This window comes from Homo sapiens, chromosome 4 (genome assembly GCF_000001405.40).
Source record: "Homo sapiens chromosome 4, GRCh38.p14 Primary Assembly".
NCBI lineage: Eukaryota > Metazoa > Chordata > Mammalia > Primates > Hominidae > Homo > Homo sapiens.
The window spans coordinates 54332801-54356304 of NC_000004.12; the positions used below are offsets into that span (position 1 = coordinate 54332801).

Genomic DNA, 23504 nt, shown 5'->3' on the forward strand with positions numbered 1-23504 from the left:
CACCCCCTCTGCAGCACCCCCTTCCCGTTGCCATGGCAACGCCCCAGAGAGTAAGGACCAGGTCTTCTATTTCTTTCTTACATCCCTTCTCCTCACCCTGCTCTGTGTCTAGAAGAGAGCTGAACACGCAGTAGGTAATGTTTGCAAAATTTGATTGATTGAGGGTTTGGGGGGTTTCATTTGGGCCATCTGCAGGTGGGCTGGGTAGCAGAAGAAGGCCTCCCATGGTTTGCTTCTATGTATCTGGGTAGAGGAGTTGGAAAAGACGGTGGGAGAGTGCAGGTCTGGGAGCTCACACAGCTTTGGCACTGCCTGTTTTTTTTTTCGTTTTGTTTTTGTTTAATGCTACAATAATAAATATTTCACAAATTAGGAATGGTGAAGGGCATGACAAAAAAAGAAAACGTTTTGATTTCTTGGTATGTCAGGGTTCAGGGGTAAATTTTTCTTTCCATAAAATGTCTGGTCATGTTGCTTGTTATAATTTTTTTTTTTTTTTTGGTAACAAATAATTTCCTTTTAAGTTGGAGGAAAAAAGAGAATGTCTTACTTTTGCCTATGTCTCTAAATGGTGACCATATTTTCAAAGCTCCAAACCAGGACACAGAGCCTGATACACAGCCTTACAGGACATTTGAAATGGGGGGCTGCCAGGACAGAGTATTTGGAGTGGAGGTATCTGGCCTCCTAGCTGCTGTGCCCAATGCCTTAGGAGTAACATCATTTCTAAATTACAGATGCAGTGAGGCCAATTTGGATATCCAGTGGGGAAACCTGGGGACCATATATGTTCTAAATTGATATCTGCCTATCTATCTAACTATCTATCTATCTATCTATCTATCTATCTACCATCTATCTATATTTTTCTATTTATTGCCAGAAAGTCAAGAGCAGCCTTCCCAGAGGACAAGACAACAACAAAACCTACAGAAATTCTCTCTAGGGTCTCAGTACATGCAAGATCTGGCTCTTTGCTGCCTGTGTGGCTGCCCAATCCCAGCCTCAGCAATGTCTGAATGAAGGGTTTGTGGGCATCTGCATGATGCAAGCCATGAGCTGGGGAGCCGCACAGTATGGGTTCTGTCTTCTGGCTGGCTGAAAAGGCTTCTCAGGCTCTGAAAGTACCAATTCTTCAGGCATGAGTGCTGGTGGAGGATTATCTTTTAAATCAGCTGGTTCTTATTTTCTTAAGTGTGAAAGAAGGAGGGTGGTCAGGAGTGTGTTTGCGTATGTGTGTGTGTGACAGGCCAACATTAGTATAGTATCTGCCATGTGCTGAGAACTTTATGCAAATCTTGTATATAATTGCCATCTATCTATAGATATGTATAGATATATATATAGATGTATATAGATATTTGTGGATGTAGGTATATCTAGAGATAGATAGCAATTTATATATGTTTTATATATATTAGATATATAGCTATATATATTTCAGATATATATCTGAATGTATATCAATATATCTATACACATCAAGTTATTTTATTTTTACAATACTCTTTTAATGCTGATAAACAGAAAAGAAAATGGGCTGGGCACAGTGGCTCATGTCTGTAATCCCAACACTTTAGGAGGTCGAGGAAGGAGGATTACCTAAAGCCAGGAGTTTGAGACCAGCCTGGGCAAAATGGTGAGACTCCCATCTCTACAACAATTTTTTTTTTTTTTAAAGAGAGAGAAAAAAGGAAATAGAGGCTGAAAGTGGGAAAAAAGAAGGCTTACTTTGGTCACACAGTGGGAGAGCAGCTGAGACTTGTTTGGGAACTGGCTCAGGTCTGTCTGAACCAAAGAGTTCTCTCCATGTCACCATCTTCCCTGCCATTTCAACCTTTAGAATACTAAGGACTAAGGCAGGAATGAGACTGAAAATATGGGCCAAGGATAGTGCAGCAATCCCAATGCCTTCCTGAAATTTCCAATTGAAAATCCTACTCTCCAGGCACTGTGGCTCATGCCTGTTGTCTTGACAGTGTGGGAGACAGAGGCAGAAGGATCAGTTGGGGTCAGGAGTTCACTACCAGCCTGGGCAACATAGCAACACCCTGTCTCTACAAAAAATAAGAAAGAAAAAACAAATCCTACCTTCCTTCCACACCACACTTCCTGTCCTTCCTTCCTTCCTTTTTTCCTTCCTTCCTTCCTTCCTCCCTCCCTCCCTCCTTCCCTCCCTTCCTTCCTTCCTTCTTTCCTTCCTTCCTTCCTTCCTTCCTTCCTTCCTTCATTTTTCCTGGGTCTTCTTCATGGCATAATCCTGGACCTGGACTCTCCTCTCTTTCTCCACAGTCACTTCCTAGATTATTTTACCCATTTCCAAGGCTCTACATACCATCTCTACAGTCTGATAACTTGGAAATTTTTATTTCTTGCAAAGATTTCTGTCTTCCATACTTCAAATCTATGTGTAAAATCATATATTCAACATTTGCCTTTGGATGACTCATAGTCGTTTACCCAAATATGGCCCAGATGGAATTTATGACCCATTCCTCGGCCTGCTTCTTTGAGTTTTCTATCAGCAAATGAAGTCCATGCCCCAAGTTTCTCACACCGGAAACCTTAGGGTGTTTCTTGATGGCGGCCTCCTTCTCATCCCCACATTCAATGAGTCCCCAGATACTGTCTGCTTTACCTCATAAATCTGTCCAGAACCTGTATTCTTTTTATTTTAATGAGATGATTTATTTATTGGGCAACTAATGTGAGCTAGGTACAGCTTTGGTAAAGGTATTTGAACTGCCTAAAAGCCCAGGCAGGTAGGGATGGTTTTCTCTATTTTCAGGTGAGAAAACAGAGGCTAAGAGAGGTCTGTTACTCTCCCAGCATCACATAGCTATTCATTCAAGCCTCTTGTTCTTTTCAACACATTTCGATATCTACCCTTGAAGGCCCTCCATAAAGAACTCAGGTCCCAAGTTCTCAAGAAGGTCCTAGTAGTTCAGAAAGACATTTCTGGAAGCTTCTGGATTAGAAGTAGATGCCAGAGCTGTGCAGGAACTCTAAAAGGGGGTGAGGGACAGGAGGTGGGTGAACAATGGAGCCTGGAGAATCATCTAGGCAATTCTGACAGTAGTTATTCTTGAAAGAAGAAAAGAATCGGGCTCTGAGGATATTGCAAATATGGAGAATTACTAACATTGGCCTGGGCAGCGATGGTTGTCACCTTGTAGAGCAAGACCTGGTTACTGACATGCTGGACAAGTTTCCTAGGGGGAAGAGTGGGGAAGGAAGTACTTACACCTTCCTTGGAATGCTTTCTGGTGTGCGAAGCCAGCTAATAGTCGATAAAAATTAGGGAGGCTGTGAGACTTGTTTCCATTTTAATTGGTCTTGACCCTTGGCAGTGATAGTCACCCAATCTGTCTCTTAAAATATTTTTTTCTTACGCTTTGCCAGTTTATAGCCTTTATAGATCAATCTTTATATTTCATGTAGGGGAGAGAGACAGAGAGAAAAAAGCAAGGTTATTGATGACCTAAACTGGATTAGCAGAACCTGTATTCTTTTTTTTTTTTTTTTTTTTTTTTTTTTCTGAGACAGAGTCTCGCTCTGTCACCTAGGCTGGAGTGCAGTGGCACGATCTCAGCTCACTGCAAGCTCCGCTTCCCATGTTCATGCCATTCTCCTGCTTCAGCCTCCTGAGTAGCTGGGACTATAGGTGCCCGCCAACTCGCCCAGCTAATTTTTTGTATTTTTAGCAGAGATGGGGTCTCACCGTGTTAGCCAGGAAGGTCTTGATCTCCCGACCTCGTGATCCACCCACCTTGGCCTCCCAAAGTGGTGGAATTACAGGCGTTAGCCACTGTGCCCGGCCAGAACCTGTATTCTTATGCCCACATTCATCAGCTTAGTCTAGGCCACTATTATTTCTCACTTTAGTTAGGAGGTATAATAACTTCCTAACTAGACTCTTAACATTCATTTTTGCCCTCTTTCCAGTATATTCAGCATACAGTAGTCAAAGTAATCCTTTAAAATGTACATTTGATTATGTCAGGCCACTGTCTACAATCTTCTAGTAGCCTCTCATTAGATTTAGAATCAAGTTTAAAATTATTTCCATATTCTGCAGGGGGATGATATTCAAAATATTTACTCCCCTATACAGCAGAAGCACAAACCAATTAGAACTGATGTTAATTTCGGTGCTGGAGCAAGATTTGGAGATGGGTGCCTGTGGTGCTGGTGTCACCTCTTTAATCCCAGGGAGTCCAAGGGGCTTCTGAGAAGGGCCACAGCAGCAGGGAGTCGGGAAGTGTCATCCTATTTGTTGTCAGCATTCAGTTTAGAAAACAAAAATCACCCTAGGTATTTCAAACACAAGGGTAATCAGGAAATCTGTTACACAGATGCCTGGATATGAATAACTTCAGGAAGCAGCTACCATTCCTAGGACTGAAGCAATTAAAAGGGAAGAGGTGGGGCCAGAAAGTAGCAACTCAGAGGAGAGACTCCTGCCTACTGGTCCTGGCACCTCAGGTGGGACACGGTGGGGCTGGTGATGGGTGTGACAAAAGCGGCACAAGTCTGGAGGAGCTGCCGTGTGCTGTGGGAGTGACAGGAACTGATATTTTTGCACTCTGTACATCCAGCCCATTGTATATTAGCTGACTGGTAGCCCTGCCTCCAAGGATGCCTTGGCCTGCCTCCTCCAGCCCCTTCTGTCTCCTTTTACTGCACAACCTCCCTTGCTCATTGTGCTCCAGTCACACTGGCTTCTTTTCATGTCCTTGGACAGGTGAAGCTCTTCCTGCCTCCAGTCTGTCACTCTCATTGTGTACTCTGTCTTCTGTTTACCTATTGCTATATAAATGACCACCCCAAACTTAGTGTTGGAAAACAACTGTAATCATTTATTTTGTTCACGCAGCTGCAATTCGCAGGGATTGGAGGGAAGGCTCGTCTGCTCCATGCAGCATCACCTAGGGTGGACTGACTAAGGGTCACAGCATCCCCTCAAGGCAGTTCCCTCATGTGGCTAAAAATCTGCTGCTGTCAACTCAGCCACGGCTTAGGCCTGGGGTCTCAGTTCATTCCACAGGGGCCTGTCCATGTGGCTGGGTTCCGAGGGTGAGCTTCTAGGAGAGGAGGCTGATTGGAAGCTGCATCACCTTTTATGACCTACCTCCAAAGTTAAACGACATCATTTCAAATATGCTTTCTTGGTTAAAGCAGTCACAAAGATCTGTCCAGGGACAGAAGGAAGGGACATGGACTCTGGCACTTGATGGAGGAGGGGCAGGTTCCAGAAGGGCATGTGGGGCAGACTATGGTTGTGACTAGTTTTGGAAAATACAATCTGCCACTCTTTTTTTAACTAGTCATTTCTGAGAGTCTAGTTTAAACTTCACCCATTTCTCTAGGTTAGGTACCCCAGACACAAATACAATCAAGGCATTCCTCTCCTCCTTTGTGGCTCTTATCATAATTTCACAATATACAGTAATTTATGTAACATTTTTGTTTATTGTCTTTTGTTTCTTGTCTGTCTTTACTTTAGACTGGAAGCTTCTGAATCTAAAACCATGTCTTCCTTATTTGGCCCTAATCTGCAGTACTTGTTTCATCACCTGGCATGCAGCAAGTGCTAAATAAAATCTCACTGAATGAATACTGTAATAAATGTTGAGCAAAATCTGCCCCCTCCCCTCCAAACAAATCATGAATTCAAGTCGTATTTGGTCATAACTTCATCACGAACTCATGCATTAAATGACCGCAAATAGAAAGGAATGGTAACACAAATTTCAGTTATGACTTTGTAAATAGCTAAAAATTTCTTGACTTAATTTCACTGTTGTTGATAGATGTTCAGTACAGAAAACCATATATTCATGTGGGCATTCCTCCCAAAAAAAGCTCTTTTCAAACCAGAGAGAAGTTTCATTTGAGAGGCTGTTGGCCCAAACAGCCTGATTATCACTCACAGGGCTGATATAGTAATCTTCAGCCAGGGGGAGTCTGGCAATATCACAGAAAGGACAATTTCTCTCCTTGACTTGTAAACTGTTCACCTTCAGGCTGAGTGTGGTGGCTCAGGTCTATAATTTCTGCACTTTGGAAGGCTGAGGTAGGAGAATCGTTAGAGTCTAGGAGTTCAAAACCAGCCTAGTGAGACAACATAATGCAACATAGTGAGACCCCATCTCTAAAAATTTTTTTAAAAAATTAGCCAAGCATGGTGGTGCATGCCTGTAGTCTCCACTAATTGGGAGGTTGAGGTGGGAGGATTGCTTGAGCCTGAGGATTGCTCGAGGCTGCAGTGAGCCATAATTGCGCCACTAAGCTTCAGCCCAGGCAACAGAGGGAGACATTGTCTCAAATAAAATAGAATAAAATAAAATAATTAAATTGTTCACTTTTGGTCAGAGACTTTGAACATCAAATCAAATAAAAATATTAGTAATTTATTCAAACTCAGAATCCTAAGATGTTAGAGAAGCCACTGCTGTCGTTTATGAGGTGGGGGCAGGGATGAGACGGAGGAACTGGTGGAATGGAGAAGGGGGTTCGGGTGGGGTTCTGGGTGGAATATTAATACTGGTTAAGGACAAGCTTCCTCCCAGGTGCTTTACATGTGTGATTTCATCTCAACCTTACCATAGTCCTGTGAGGTAGGTAGGGCCATCCCCATGTGAAAGATGAGAAGATCAAGGGTGCAAGTGGTTCAATACTGCGCCCACAGTGACACAGTTCACAAATGGATGTGTTAGGATTCCTTCTTCAGTTCTCAGTGGTTCCCCAGCCCACATAATTCCTACTGCACCAAAAATGCAGGTTCAATTTAAGAGATGTCAACAAGCTGTTTTTGGGGGCTCTCAGGTACACCAAGAACTGAGCAAACAGTGGCCTAATAGGGACCACATATACTTCCTCCATTTGCTGATATGGGTTTGATATGGGCCCAGTTCTTCCAAATCCTAAAATTATAAGAAAATAGGGATATCAGTGGCAGAATAAATTGGTATATTTCAGAATGTCAATTTTCCAAAATGTAGTAAGAGACTCAAAAATCTTTTTATCCTAGAATTCCACAATTCTTCAAGGAAAATATATAATCAAGATCATGCACGAAGCCAGGTGCAGTGGCTCATTCATGTAATCCCAGCACTTTGGGAGGCCTAGGTGAGGGGAATGCTTGAGGCCAGGTGTTTGAGACCAGCCTGGGAAACGTAGTAAACCCCATCTCTACAAAAAATAAAAATTAGCCTGGTGCGGTGGCATGTGTCCATAGTCCCAGCTACTCGGAAGGCTAAAGTGAATGTATTGCTTGAGCCCAGTTCGAGGTTGTTGAATTCCAGATAAGGATGGCCATTGTAGTTATACCTACAAAATAAAAAAGAAAAAAGGAAGGCAGGAAATCCAGTAAGGGATTTAAAAAACTGTGGTATTTTTATATAATGGAATGTTATGCAGCCTTTACAAATCACTCTTTGGAAAAAACATATAACATAATAACAAGGAAATGCTGAAGATATATTTTTAAAGTGCAAAGAAAAAGCATATACTCTTATTCAAGCTTGGCTACTTTATCCTTCCCTTGCTACCCCACAGTAGAGCTAAGATACAGCTCTAGCATTTGACTGGACCATATTATAGGTTTAGGGAAAATGAAAAATACAAACAGAAAGAGTAATAAGAACTAGAAAGGCTGGCCTGTGAATCGCAGGTTATTCATATTCAGCTGTGACTCCATAAGGAGATGCCTCTTTCTCTGACCCTGGTGATGGGCAAGGGGCATGGTTAAGCCTCTGATAGGAGAGTATCTTTGGGAGTGAGAAATAACCAAGTCTCCTCATCTGCCCAAAAGGCCCATATTCCAAGTTTCAGCCTCCTGTCTGCCCACCTACCTCTTCCTGAATTATCAATACAGGGAACACCCAGCTTGTCTGGAGAGGACCACAGGACTATAGATTGGAGGTGCCAAGAGATCAAACAGCATCAGAATGGGCACATGAAATACAAAAACTACTTTTAGTATATACCAATATAAAAATCTTGTTTCCCCCAGGTAAATGGAAGGAAGCATCAAATCAAACAAATCAAGACTATAATCTGAAAGGCTAGAGCTTTGAATTGTGTTGATTTCTAAAAGAATGGCTTGTTAGCTCAAAGTAGCAAATAATTAATGGAAATTCTGTGTCCTCCCTTAAGAGTCTAGACCAGCACTAGTCCAATAGAAATATAATAAAAGCACCTATATAATTTAAATTTTTTTAGTAGGCACATTTAAAAAGTAAAAAGAAACAGGTGAAACAAATTTTGTATTATATGCAATTAATAACATGTTATTTAACCCAACATATCAAAAATATCACGTTATCATATAACATAATGAATTATTAATGAGATATTTTATATTCCTTTTTGGCATCAAGTCTTGGAAATCTGGAGTGCATCTTACATTTATAACGTATCTTAATTTGGACTGGCCACATTTCAAGTGCTTGGTAACCTTGTGGGGCTGTGGCTACATGTTGAATACCAGGTCTGGACTCTAAAATAAACCTAAATAGAAATTGGAACTAGAGGATCATGGCGGATGGGAGGCAGGACTAGATTGCACCTCTGGAGAGAGCAGCGTGTGGAGGCTTGCATTGTGAATTTTAGCTCCGGATTGACTGCAAGAACAAACCAGCAATCCCGAGAGGACCCACAGACCCTCTGAAAGAGGTGGACTACTCCTGCAGGACCGGGGAGACACTCCAAATACTGTGAGTGCCCCAACTGCAGAAGTGGGAAAGGTAGACCCTCTTCTCCCGAAAGCACACCCCCATTGGAGAAGCTGAAAGTTTGTTTGCGGGAGAAGTTTCCGACTTTACCTGGAACTGAGTCAAGTTAGACAGCTGAGCAAAATACAGGGGTAGAGGAAGCAGCAGAAAAGCCCTGGGAGCTCGCTGGGTCCCCAAGCAGCCAATTCCTGACTGGCACCACGGGGATCCATAGGGAGGGCGGCCAGAGGGGCAGGTGGTAAAACTCCACAGGGAGAAAGAATTCTCTAGCTGAACTTTGTAACAATTGGAACGGGCGGGAAGCCTCCTGGCCAGAACTCGGGGGAGGGTGCAAATCTGGAGTACAGACTTCATAGGCAGGGGAAGAACTTAAGCCCTTTTTTTCCCCCACAGCTTGGAGACAGATAGCCTCAGGCAAGTTTTCAAGCCCTTCTCGCCCTCTACCTGGAAATATACTCAGGGATACTGGTTGGGGGTCACGGTGGAAGTAATACTGGCCGTTCAGTTTGCATGGGAGCTGGGTGAGGCCTGTGACTGCTGGCTTTACCCTGCTTCCCTGACAACCTGCAAGACTCAGCAGAGGCAGCCATAATCCTCCTAGGTACACAACTCCAGTGACCTGAGAATCTCACCTCCATCCCTGACAGCAGGTGCAACAAGATCCACCCAAGGAGAGTCTGAGCTCAGACACACCTAGCCCTGCCCCAACCTGATGGTACTTCCCTATACACCCTAGTAGTGAAGACAAAGGGCATGTAATCTTGGGAATCTAGGGCCCAGCTCACCGCCGGTTCCTCTTCACACTACTGCAGTTAATGCTTTCTGGAAAGCACCACCTCCTGGCAGGAGGCCAACCAGCACAAAAATAGAGCATTAAACCACCGAAGCTAAGGACCCTCTCAGAGTTCATTGCACCCTCCAACACCTCCACTGGAACAGGTGCTGGTATCCATGACTGAGAGACCCATAGATGGTTCACATCACTGGATTCTGTGCAGACAACCCTTGGTACCAGCCTAGAGCCAGGTAGACTCGCTGGGTGGCTAGATTCAGAAGAGAGACAACAGTCACTGAAGTTCGGCTCACAGGAAGCCACATCCATAGGAAAAGGGGAGAGTACTACATCAAAGGAACACCCCGTGGGACAAAAGAATCTGAACAACAGCCTTCAGCCTTAGACCTTCCCTCTGACAGAGCCTACCCAAATGAGAATGAATCAGAAAACCAACCCTGGTAATATGACAAAACAAGGCTCTACAACACCCCCAAATAATCACACTAGTTCACCAGCAATGGATCCAAACCAAGAAGAAATTTCTGATTTACCTGAAAAAGAATTCAGGAGGTTAGTTATTAGGGTGATCAGGGAGGGATCGGAGAAAGACAAAGCACGATGCAAGGAAATCCAAGAATAATAGAAGAAGTGACGGGAGATATATTCAAGGAAATAGATAGCTTAAAGAAAAAACAATCATAAATTCAGGAAACTTTGGACATACTTTTAGAAATGCGAAATGCTGTGGAAAGTCTCAGCAATAGAATTGAACAAGTAGAAGAAAGAAATTCAGAGCTCAAAGACAAAGTCTTTGAATTAACCCAATCCAACAAAGACAAAGAAAAAAATAATAAGAAAATATGAACAAAGGCTCCAAGAAGTCTGGGATTATGTTAAACAACCAAACCTAAGAATAATCAATGTTCCTGAAAAAGAAGAGAATTCTAAAAGCCTACAAAATATATCTGGGGGACTAATTGAGGAAAACTTCCCTGGCCTTGTGAGAGACCTAGACAACCAAATAAAAGAAGCACAAAGAACACCTGGGAAATTGACTGCAAAAAGATCTTCACCTAGGTACATTGTCATAAGGTTATCCAAAGTTAAGATGAAGGAAAGAATCTTAAGAGCTGTGAGACAGAAGCACCAGGTAACCTATAAAGGTACATCTATCAAATTAACAGCAGAGTTCTCAGCAGAAACCCTACAAGCTAGAAGGGATTCGGGGCCTATCTTCAGCCTCCTCAAACAAAACAATTATCAGCCAAGAATCTTGTATCCAGTGAAACTAAGCATCATATATGAAGGAAAGATACAGGTCTTTTCAGACAAACAAATGATGAGAGAATTTGCCATTACCGCCACTACAAGAACTGCAAAAAGGAGCCCTAAATCTTGAAACAAATCCTGGAAACACATGAAAACAGAACCTCTTTAAAGCATAAATCACACAGGACCTATGAAACAAAAATACAAGTTATAAAGCAAAAACCAAAAACAAAAAAACAAAAGTACACACATAACAAACTTTAAAGCAACAATGGTAAAAAGAGACAAAGAGGGACATTATATAATGATAAAAGGCCTTGTCCAATAGGAAAATGTCACAATCCTAAACATATATGCACCTAACACTGGAGATCCCAAATTTATAAAACAATTACTAACAGACCTAAGAAATGAGATAGAGAGCAATATAATAGTAGGGGACTTCAATACTCCACTGACAGCACTAGACAGGTCATCAAGACAGAAAGTTAACAAAGAAACATTGGATTGTTTCTTGGAGCAAATGGACCTAACAAATATATACAGAACATTTTATCCAACAACCACAGAGTACACATTCAACAGCACATGGAACTTTCTCCAAGATAGACCATATGATAGGCCATAAAATGAGCCTCGATAAATTTAAGAAAATTGAAAATATATCAAGCACTCTCTCGGACCACAGTGAAATAAAACTGGAAATCAATTCCAAAAGAAACCTTCAAAACCATCCAAATACATGGAAATTAAATAACCTGCTCCTGAATGAGCATTGGGTCGAAAACAAAATCAAGGTAGAAATTAAAAAATTCTTTGAACTGAATGATAATAATGACATAACCTATCAAAACCTCTAGGATACAGCAAAGGCAGTGCTAAGAGGAAAGTTCAAAGCAGTAAATGCCTACATCAAAAAGTCTGAAAGAGCACAAACTGACAATCTAAGGTCACACCTCAAGGAATTAGAGAAACAAAAACAAACCAAACCCAAACCCAGCAGAAGAAAGGAAATAACAAAGGTCAGAGCAGAACTAAATGAAATTGAAACAAACAAAAACACACAAATAATAAATGAGACAAAAACTGGTTTTTTGAAAAGATAAATTAAATAGATAGACCATTAGCAAGATTAACCAAGAAAAGAAGAGAGAAAATCCAAATAACCTCACTAAGAAATTAAACAGGCGATATTACAAGTGACACTACTGAAATATAAAAGATAATGCAAGGCTATAATGAACACCTTTACACATATAAACTAGAAAACCTAGAAGAGATAGATAGATTCTTGTAAAAATACAACCCTCCTAGCCTAAATCAGGAAGCACTGGATATCCTGAACAGACCAATAACAAGCAGCAAGACTGGAATGGTAATTAAGAAATTACCAACCAAAAAAATGTCCGGGACCAGATGGATTCACAGCAGAATCCTAACAGACATTCAGAGAAGAATTGGTACCAATCCTTTTGACACTATTCCACAAGATAGAGAAAGAAGGAACCCTTCCTAATTCATTCTGTGAAGCCAACATCACCCTAATACCAAAACCAGAAAAGGACACGTCCAAGAAAGAAAGCTACAGGCTGAAATCCTTGATGAACATAGATGCTAAAATCCTTAACAAAATACTAGCTACCTCAATCCAACAACATATCAAAAAGATAATCCACTATGATCAAGTGGGTTTCATACCAGGGATGCAGGATTGTTTAACATATGCAAGTCAATAAATGTGATAACATCACATAAACAGAATTAAAAACAAAAATCACATGATCCTCTCAATAGATGCAGAAAAAACATTTGACAAAATCCAGTATTGCTTTATGATTAAAACTCTCAGCAAAATTGGCATACAACAGACATGCCTTAATGTAATAAAAAAAAGCCATCTATGACAAACCCACATCCAACATAATACTGAATGAGGAAAAGTTGAAAGCATTCCCTTTGAGAACTGGAACAAGACAAGAATGCCCACTCTCACCACTCCTCTTCACCATAGTACTGGAAGTTCTAGCCAGAGCAATCAGACAAGAGAAAGAAATAAAGGTCAGCTAAATCGATAAAGAGGAAGTCAAATTGTCACTGTTTGCTGATGATATGATCGTCTATCTTGAAAACCCTAATGACTCCTCCAGAAAGCTCTTAGAACTGATAAAAGAATTCAGCAAATTTTCCAGATACAAGATTAACGTATGCAAATCAGTAGCTCTTCTATACATCAACAGCTACCAAGTGGAGAATCAAATCAAGAACTCAACTCCTTTTACAATAGCTGAAAAAAATGAAATACTTAGGAATACACCTAACCAAGGAGGTGAAAGACCTCTATAAGGAAAACTACAAAACAATGTGAAAGAAATCATAGAAGACAGAAACAAATGGAAACACATCCCATGCTCATGATGAGCTGAATCAATATTGTGAAAATGACCATAGTGCCAAAAGCAGTCTACAAATTCAATGCAATCCTCATCAGGATACCTCCAATCATTCTTCACAGAATTAGAAAAAAACAATTCTAAAGCTCATATGGAACCGAAAAAGAGCCTGCATAGCCAAAGCAAGACTAAACAAAAAGAACAAATCTGGAGCATCACACTTCCTGATTTCAAACTTTACTATAAAGCCATAGTCACCAAAACAGTGTGCTACTGGTACAAAAATAGGCACATAGAACAATGGAACAGTATAGAGAACCCAAAAATAAACCCAAATACTTACAGCCAACTGATCTTTGACAAAGCAAACAGAAACATAAAGTGGGGAAATGACTACCCTTTTCAACAAATGGTGCTGGGATAATTGGCTAGCCACATGTAAGAGAATAAAACTGGATCCTCATCTCTCACCTTACATAAAAATCAACTCAAGATGGATTAAGGACTTAAACTGAAGACCTGAAATTATAAAAATTCTAGAAGATAACATTGGAAAATTCCTTCTAGACATTGGCTTGGGCAAGGATTTCATGACTAAGAACCCAAAAGCAAATGCAATAAAACAAAGACAAATAGCTGGGACCTAATTAAACTAAAGAGCTTTTGCATGATAAAAGGAACAGTCAGCAGAGTAAACATACAACCCATAGAGTGGGAGAAAATCTTCACAATCTATACATCTAGTAAAGGACTAATATCCAGAATCTACAACAAACTCAAACAAATCCACAAGATAAAAACAAACAATCCCATCAAAAAGTGGGCTAAGAACATGCATAGACAATTCTCAAAACAAAATATACAAATGACCAACAAACATATGAAAAAATGCTCAACATCACTAATGATCAGGGAAATGCAAATCAAAACCACAAGGCAATACCACCTTACTCCTGAAAGAATAGCCATAATAAAAAATAAAAAAATAGTTGATGTTGCCATAGATATGGTGAACATGGAACACTTCTACACTGCTGGTGGGCATGTAAACTACTACAACCACTATGGAAAATGGGGTGGAGATTCCTTAAAGAACTAAAAGTAGAACTACCATTTGATCTAGCAATCCCACTAATGGGTATCTACCCAGAGGAAAAGAAGTCTTCATATGAAAAAGATACTTGCATACGCATGTGTATAGTAGCAGAATTCACAATCGCAAAAATGTGGAACCAAACCAAATGCCCATCAATCAACGAGTGGATAAACTGTGGTATATATACACAATGGAATACTATGCAGCCATAAAAATGAATGAATTAACAGCATTTGCAGTGACCTGGGTAAGATTGGAGACTGTTATTCTAAGTGAAGTAACTCAGGAATGGAAAACCAAATATCGTATGTTCTCACTGATATGTGGGATCTAAGCTATGAGGATGCAAAGGCATAAGAATGATACAATGAACTTTGGTGACTTGGGGGGAACAGTGGGAGGGGAGTGACGGATAAAAGAATATAAATATGATGCAGTGTATACTGCTTGGGTGATGGTTGCACCAAAATTTCAGAAATCACCACTAAAGAACTTACTCATGTAACCAAATATGACCTGCACCCCAATAACTTATGGAAAAATAAAAAAATTATAAAATAAAATTACCATAAATTAAAAAAAACCTAACTAATATTTATAGAGGTGAAAAAAGGAGCCTATTTAAATATTTGACAATGCTGGATTGGTTAAATAAACAATAATCTATACAATGGAACCTTATGTAGTCATTAAAAATACTGTTTTTTTGTTCGTTTGAGAGTGTCTCACTCTGTTTGTTGCCCAGGCTGGAGTGCAGTGGCACAATCTCGGATCACTGCAACCTCCACCTCCCAAGTTCAAGCGATGCTTCCGAGTAGTTGGGATTACAGGCGTGTGCCACCATGCCTGGCTAATTTTTGTATTCTTTGTAGAGACAGGTTTTTACCATGTTGTCCAGGCTGGTCTCCAACTCCTGACCTCAAGTGATCTGCCTGCCTCAGGCGGCTCCCAAAGTGCTGGCATTACAGGTGTGAGCCACCACACCTGGCCAAAAAAAAAAAAAAAATATATATATATATATACTATTTTTAAAAAAGCAGGTAACCAAATGGACTTTTTGGTACTATTTTTCTAAATCATGTGTTGTATGTGTGTATGTACATAGACCCCCATGTCTCTCTCATTCTGTAGTCCCTTCCCTGCTTCTTTTTTCTTCTTAGCTGAAATCATTCAATTATATAACATATAATATGATACATTTGCCCAGTCATTTGTTCAATTTCTGTCTCCCCCGAGAATACAAAAGCCTATTGTGCATAAAACATATTTCTAGGTCCTGAGTATCAAACACCGAACGAAAATCTAAAATATGCCCCTGTCTGCCTGAGGCTTAATTTTTAGTGAGGGAAGACTGTAAACAAACAACCAAATGAGCAAATCTGCCGTATCATATATAACCTCCCTCCATATTTTATCATCTCATATGTGCTTTAATGAAAAGAGCAACACAGCAAAACAGAAAAGGCCAAGGATGAAGCACAATGAGGGGGGAATGGGGAGCCCCTTTTTTAAGTAGGTGCTGAGGGAGGATTTCATGGCTGCTGTTTAAATAGGGACTTGAACGAAGTGAAGGAGCAAGCCAAGCAGGTATCTGGGGGAAGAGATTTCCAGGCAGAGGGAACGGTAAGTCCAAGGATGTTTACAGAAATGGGAAAGACTGTGAGAAAATGGAGTACTAGCGGGCTGGAATCAAGATTTCAGTGTGGCCATTTTAAAGTTGAGATGCCTTCATCAAAGGACTATATTTAAAAGTATCAACTGGTGTCCAACAGGCTGGTTAATCAGAAGGGATTTTCAATGAATCAGAGCTGATACCACTTATAAACAAACAGTAAGGCCATATTGGAGCCTACCAGGGATGCCTATTAGATGTCCAAGTGGAGATATGTAATTCTGGAGTTCAGGGGAGAAATTTATATCAGGGCTGGAGATACAATATGGGGATTATCAACATATAGGTGGTAATTTTAGGTCCTGGGACTGAAGAGATCACCAAGAAAGTTGGTATAGAGATAAGCAAGTGAAAAGGTTGAGCACTGGGCCAATCTTAGGGTTGGGGAGAGGAAGAACTTGCAAAAGTGAGAAGTGGCCGTGGAGATAGGAGTAAAACCAAGAAAGTTGGTGTGCTGGGAAACAAAAGAAGAACGTGTTTCAAAGAAAGTGGGATAGATGTCAAGTGTTCCTGCAGGATTAAGAAGAGCACTGAGGGCTGACCATTGGATTTGGACATGGGGAGGTCACTGGCCTGGACAAAAGCAGTTTTAGTGGAGTGGCAGGAATGCAAGCCTGCGTGGAGTGTGTTCAAGGCACAACAGGAGCCAGGGAGTCTAGACAACTTTGAAGATTGTGTGCTAAAAAGGAGAGCAGAGAAACAGGGCTGCCGTGAAAGAAGGATGTGGGGGCCACAAAGATTTGTTCATTGTTTGTTTCTTTGTTCTGGATGGGAGAGATTACACTATGTTTGCTTACTGATAGAAATCATTTGGCATGGGGGAACCACTGATTAGGAGCTAATTGCATAATGAATCTCTGAGTAGGTAAAAGAAAATAAAATCAAGCGCAGAATAAACAGTAGGAACATGGTCAGTTCATCCCTTGTACCAGGAGGGAAGGCAGGGTATATAGACACAGATGTGGGGTTGGTAGACTGGTTGGGGAGAATGTGGAAGTTCTCTTTTTACTGATTCAGTTTGCTCGGTGAAATACAAAGCTAGACCATTATAGCTGGAAGGAGCTATGTCAAGGTGTTAAAAGTGGCTCTCTCTAGTAAGTGGAATTACAGGCATTTTTTTTGCTTTAATATTTTAAATTTCTCTCTAATATGATACATCTTTTCTTAATGACAGGCAGCATCTTTAAGTGCCCTCCTTTTCTGCTGCTTATAAGGATGAACCTAACCTGCCACTTACCAGTTGTATGTCTTTGAACTAGTTACTTACATTTTTTTTTAACTTTTCAAAATTTAAAATTTTTATTTTTTAAATTGGCAAATAGTTGTACATACTCATGGAGTACATAGTGATGCTCCAATACATATAATGTATAGTGATCAGATCAGGGTTCTTAAAATATTTGTAATCTCAAAGTTACTTATTTTGGGGGGGTCTTGGTTTCTTATTTGTAAACGGAGATGATAATGTCTGTGCTATTTAGTCCACTGGTCTGGAAGAATCTTAAATGAGAAAATGTATATAAAAATAACTTGAAAGGAACTAGTATGGCATGGATAGAAAATGTTCCTATTGTGGTTATTTCTGGTCTCTGTAGGGAAGTAGGAGGCAGGGGAGGGATCTAAGAATAGGCTGGAATCATCAACTCATTCCTTACAAACTATTCAATAGTGGTAAGAGCAAAAACTACTTTTCTGATTCAGATAGTGCTGCATCCTTTTATCAAACTTTTGACTAATATTAAAAGCTTTGTGTTCAGCCCTGGAAAACAAAACACAAAATATGTTTCCTTTGCTTTTACGTTGAGTTAACTTTATTATTTGACACTCTAAGTTAAAATGTTTCCTAGTGAGCCAGGTTTTTCTTTTTAGCTTTAGATACATTAATTTTGAACATTTACCCACATTTTTGCATTTGAATTCAAAACCAGCCAGAGAATATATAGCTATGATTATTCTTTTGTTATTTTTTCAAATTACTGTGATTGCATTGTTAGATATGCTTCAGCACATGGGTCCTGCTGGCCTGTCATCATTAGACAGATTCATAGAAATCTACTAAATAAAAAATCACAAGATAAAGATAAAACCACTTATTTAAGGCACTTTGTACGAATTAAGTAATGATAGTGGAGTCACATAACTCTTCCTCAAGTATAATTCTGAACTGCTTTTGTGTTTCTTGGCATTTGAATATTTCATTGTCAGCCTAAAGATTATAAAATAAAAAGACAATACCGAGCTTTCACTGTTCTACAATGTGTATACTATTGAAGATAAATGCTTATTAATCTTTGCTTTCAATTTACTTACAGCCCCCCACCCTTTTATGGTAAGAAAGTATAACCCCAGCATTAAAGAACATTTTGAAAAATGAGAAAAACACGACCACTGCATCATCAGAATATAATTATTTTCCCTTTTGTGTGTTCCTGGTTTACCTTTGTCTTTTTATGTACATAGCTTTACATGGTTTCAATCTCAGTATGCGTACAATTTTGAATATAAATTTAGGGTTTCATTTAAAAGAGAATTTTTTCAGGCTACAGCATAATTTCATGTTTCTACCTTTTGTCAAAACTTGACTATGTCAAACAAAGCCTGAGATCAGGAGACCTTGTTAAGACATCTGAAACAACTTCAATGATCTCACTGCTCTGTGCTCCTTCAGGACTGCAGAAATAATTGATCACCTTGGGTACCTAATAAACCCCTCACAGGGCTGCTATGATTTCATTCTGAAGGGGCCCCAGACTTGGAATCATCTTCCATAGAATCATCAGGAATCAAAGGACTCTTCTTCCAGAGCGGGAAATGCCTCTTAGGGGGTGGGTCAGGGACAAGATCTGATGAGTGTCTCCCATGTCTTCTCAGATGGTCCTTAATTAAAATTTTGAGTACTTTTTGGTTTTCATCTTGGTGAAAATCCTATGATCTACCCTGTCTCAGGATAATTACAACAATGAAGCATATTTCATAATTGTTGCTTATTTCCTGTACCGTTATGTTTCCAGTTTGTGGTAGATTGATCGCAAACATGGCCCCAATTTTCCCCCCTTCTTGTATCCATACCCTTTGCAGCATGACTTTACGACTATTCCCCATTTGGAATCTGGGGTGGCCAATGGAATGCATTAGAAGTGATGGAGGATTAGTTCTGAGTTTAGAATTTAAGAGATTGTGCCCACATCCTCTCTCCCTGGTGGAACACTATCTAACTGCCATGTCCACTAGACTGCCTTAGCCTGCTGGAGAATCATGTGGATTAGGAACGAGTCAACCGAACTGAGGCCCAGACCCCAAACCTGCTGACCACACATGCCCGGGGGAGCCCAGTCAAATTTAGCTAAGCCCAGTACAGGTAAGCAGAACTGTCTAGCTGAGAAATCATACCTAATTGCTATTTAAGCAAGTAGGTGTTTTTTGTTGTTGTTGTTGTTTTTTAAGACAGAGTCTCACTCTGTCACCCATGCTGGAGTGCAATAGTACAGTCTCAGCTCACTGAAACCTCTGCCTCCCAGGCTCAAACCATCCTCTTGCCTCAGCCTCCCAAGTAGCTGGGACTACAGGTGTGCACCACCATGCCCCGCTAATTTTTGTGTTTTTTGTAGAGGCAAGGTTTTGCCATGTTGCCCAGGCTGGTCTCAAACTCCTGGGCTCAAGTGATCCGCCTACCTCAGCCTCTCAAAGTGCTGCTATTACAGGTGTGAGCCACTGCGCCCAGCCTACGTTGTTTTTAAAAATTATTTATTCATTTTCCATTTTTTGTTAATGAAACACATTTAATGCCTATGCCCTTTGACCCAGCAATGCCATATCTAGAATTTACAAATATGTATACATTTACACATGTGACATGACAAAGTACAATGACTTTGGTGCACTGTTTATGATAGTAAAATACTAGAAACAGTCTAAAGTGGTTAAATAAGTTATGTGCATTTATTTATTTTATTTGTACAAATTTATGGGGTACAATTGTAATTTTGGTTACACAGATATATTGTGTAGTGGTAAAGTCAGGGCTTTTAGGGTATCTATCAAACAATGTATATTATACCCATTAATTTCTCATCACCCATCCCCTGCCACCCTCCCACCCTTCTGAGTCTCCATTGTCTATCATTCCACACTCTAAGTTCATGTGTACACATTATTTAGCTCCACTTACAAATGAGAACATACAGTATTTGTCTTTCTGTGTCTGAGTTGTTTCTCTGAAGATCATGGCCTCCAGTTTCATCCATGTTGCTGCAAAAAAAAAGAAAAACCCATCATCTCATTTTTTTATGGCTGAATAGTGTTCCACTCTGTAGACACACTACATTTTCTTTATCCAATCATCCACCGATGGACACTTAGGTTGATTCCATGACTTTGCTGTTGTAGATACTGTTGCTATAAACATGTGTATTCAGGTGTCTTTTTTTTAATATAAAAATTTTTTGGGGTAGATTTTAAGTAGTGGAATTGCTGGATTTTATGGTAGTTATTTTTAGTTCTTTGAGAAACCTCCATACTGTTTTCCATGGAGGCTGTACTAATTTACATTCTCATCACAGTGTAAAGTGTTCTCTTCTCTCTGCATCCTTGTCAACAGTTGTTGTTTTTTATTAAGTGACTACGTAGTTGGGTGATTTACTGTACAGCAGTATTTTGGAAATACATATTAATAAAAGGTTCTATCACATTTTAGACAATTATTTTTTTCCTCTTGGGTTCCTATTTGTTGCGAAATTGAGGTGGGGGGCCATAGAGAGAGAGAATATGCCTTCCTCCCATTACCACTACTTATATTCCATGAGAGGCCTAAGATTTTTTGAGGCTGTAGATTGAATGAGGAGGACTTCTAACTGCCCCTGCCCCTGAATTCTTGAGCTCAGACAGCCGACCTTAGAGCTTTCTTGCTGCTTTCTTAAATAAGGTTAGTGTGAAGTAGGACTACCTTTATTTTATTTTTTCTCCTTTTAATCCAATCTATGAACCTATAATGTCTTTTCAACAGATTTTCAAGTGAGCAGGAAACCAGGAAAGATAAATGAAAAGTTGAGTGGTATTGTTAAAGGAGAAATGGTCTCTACGGCTGTAAGGTAACATATAATTAACCTCAGATTCAGGCCAGGACTCAGATAATAGAAGTGCTCAATTCAAAAGAAACTCACAAACCACCTGAAATGTAAGCAATTCCTCTTTACATAGGAAATATGCTGTTGCTTTGTTGTTATTTATTTTCATTCTAATTTTAAATTATTTATGATATTATACTCACCTTTATCTCAGATGTAGCATTTCTTAGTACAGCATGTATATAACTACATAATTCATCATATAAAATTATGTTGTTGTATGGGCTTAGGTATCTCATAGACCAAGAAATTCCCCAGAAATAGCAATAATTCTTCAACGACCAGGCCCAGCATGAGCTAGTCTTGGTCCTATATGTGACACTAGGTTCCTGATTTCTTATTAACGTGCTCTGATGAGGAAGTTGATTGAGTTATTTCAGGAAAAGAAAGAGGTGAACTAAATCTGCCCTTCTCTTACATTTAAACATTCATTTTCTACATTTTATTGTAAATAAACACATAAACATATACACACACAACTAGTTTTAGAAATTATCAAAATACAGAAAGTAGAAGGAAGAAAACTAGCCTCTCATAATCCTATCACCTCGAAACAACCACTATGAACAGCTTGGAATATTTATTTCCAGTGTTTAAAATTTTTTCCTATACCTAATTGGAACTGCAAATACATAAACAGAAGACACTCATATAAAACCTAAGTGAGAAGTTGGGCATGGTGGCTCTCACCTGTAATCCCAGAACTTTGGGAGGCTGAGGAGGGCAGATCACCTGAGGTCAGAAGTTCGAGACCAGCCTGGGAAACATGGTGAAACCCTGTCTCTACTAAAAAATACAAAAATTAGCTAGCGTGGTGGTGTGCGCCTGTAATCCCAGCTACTTGGGAGGCTGAGGCAGTAGAATCGCTTGAACCTGGAGGTGGGAGTTGCAGTGAGCCAAGATCACAGCATTGCATTCCAGCCTGAGCGACAAGAGCGAAACTTCATCTCCAAAAACAAAACAAAACAAAACAAAACAACAACAAAAGCCTAAGCGAGGATAAGAGCAAAGTCAGAAATTCTTCTGTATTTGGAAGACAAGTGCATAGCTCTCCACCCATTTCCCCCTGTAAAGGGTGAGCACAATGACAGTCACAGGGAGAGTGGTGGTGATAGTGAAGTGAAGTCGTGGACAGACAGGCTTAGCTCAGGACCTGGTAGAGTGCAAAATTCACCATTAATCACAACAAACAGAGCAAACATCAGTCTAGTGCTTACTACATGCCAGACACTGTTCTAATGACTTCCTGTATTTTAACTCATTTAATCCTCCCAACAATTCTGCTAGAAGCAGGTACTAGAATTCCCATTTTACACCTGAGAAAATGAGGCACAGAGCCATTAAGTAACTTGCTCAAGATTGGAGCCTGGATTAAAATTCACAGTCTGTTTATGGTGTTGTTTCTCTTAAACACCATGTGCTCATTTTATTATTTTCTTTATCGTAATTGTTCATCTCACTCCCTCATGGACTCCAATAGGCACTCTGGCCATTTTGAAGGAGCCCATTTGGCACAGCTGTGGAGACTTCGTCTCACCATTGCAATCATTTATCGACTTAAAAGCATATTCCTTTGAAACTGAAATCTGAGTATCATCCATCACAATTCATTTGTATTATTGCCCATCCATACCTTTTCGTCTTTCCACTTTTCTTTCAGAACACAATAAATTATATTCAAATGGCAGTCAAGGAGGAAACTTTTCTTCCTCATCAACAAAGCTGATCGATGGGGGCTGAAGCCCCAGGGAAGAAGCATCTGTTGTAACTCAAGGATCCCGGCTTGAGCTGAGGATGGAATTAACAGGCACAGAGTGGTTGGCAGCCCAACGTTTGTGCAAGTCTGGCACATGCACACATCATTAGCAACTATGCTGGAGAAGAATGATCAAGGAGGTGAGGAGGGGAATGGATCTGATTAAAGGGATGTTCAAGAAAGGAAATTCCAAGCACTTGGGTAAAAGCTTCATAGCTAAAATGAATGAACTCGTGAGCAAAGCAAACAGCCAGGTACATTTGGGAGATGCTGACAGACAATCTGGATAATTTTGCCTCTGAAACTTTCAAAACAAAGTCATTTCATGCAGTGAATTCCCCAGAGTGGCTGCCTCTTTCACTTAGCTCCTTCGGCTGTGTCTCCTTCACTAAAATGAAGCCCCCATGAAGGCAAAAATTTTGCTGTCCTGTTCATGGCTCCAATCTTGGCTCCTGGTTGATAATATTAAATATTCATGGAATAAGTTAATGTATACTTGTGTTGACTCAAGCTAGGCAGATAAGCGCTGAGATATTCAACAGCATTCAAAAGCAATGTGCATGCTGGAAGAATGGCATGGTTCAACTAAAACTGATTGTTCACAATAGTGTATAGAATCAGTGGTGAAATACTGGCAGAATATCTCTTTGTGTGCCCACCACTACTGTAAGCAATGGAAGAGATA

The 23504-nt window shown here is 40.1% G+C and overlaps 1 long non-coding RNA gene across 1 annotated transcript; it reads left to right on the forward strand.

Moving 5' to 3' along the window:
• The first annotated feature begins 91 nt into the window (after positions 1 to 91).
• LINC02283 (long intergenic non-protein coding RNA 2283) lies at positions 92 to 23304 on the forward strand. The gene is made up of 2 exons (NR_147160.1): positions 92 to 134; positions 22724 to 23304. It is a non-coding gene; the product is annotated as a long intergenic non-protein coding RNA 2283 (long non-coding RNA).
• The last annotated feature ends 200 nt before the right edge of the window (positions 23305 to 23504 follow it).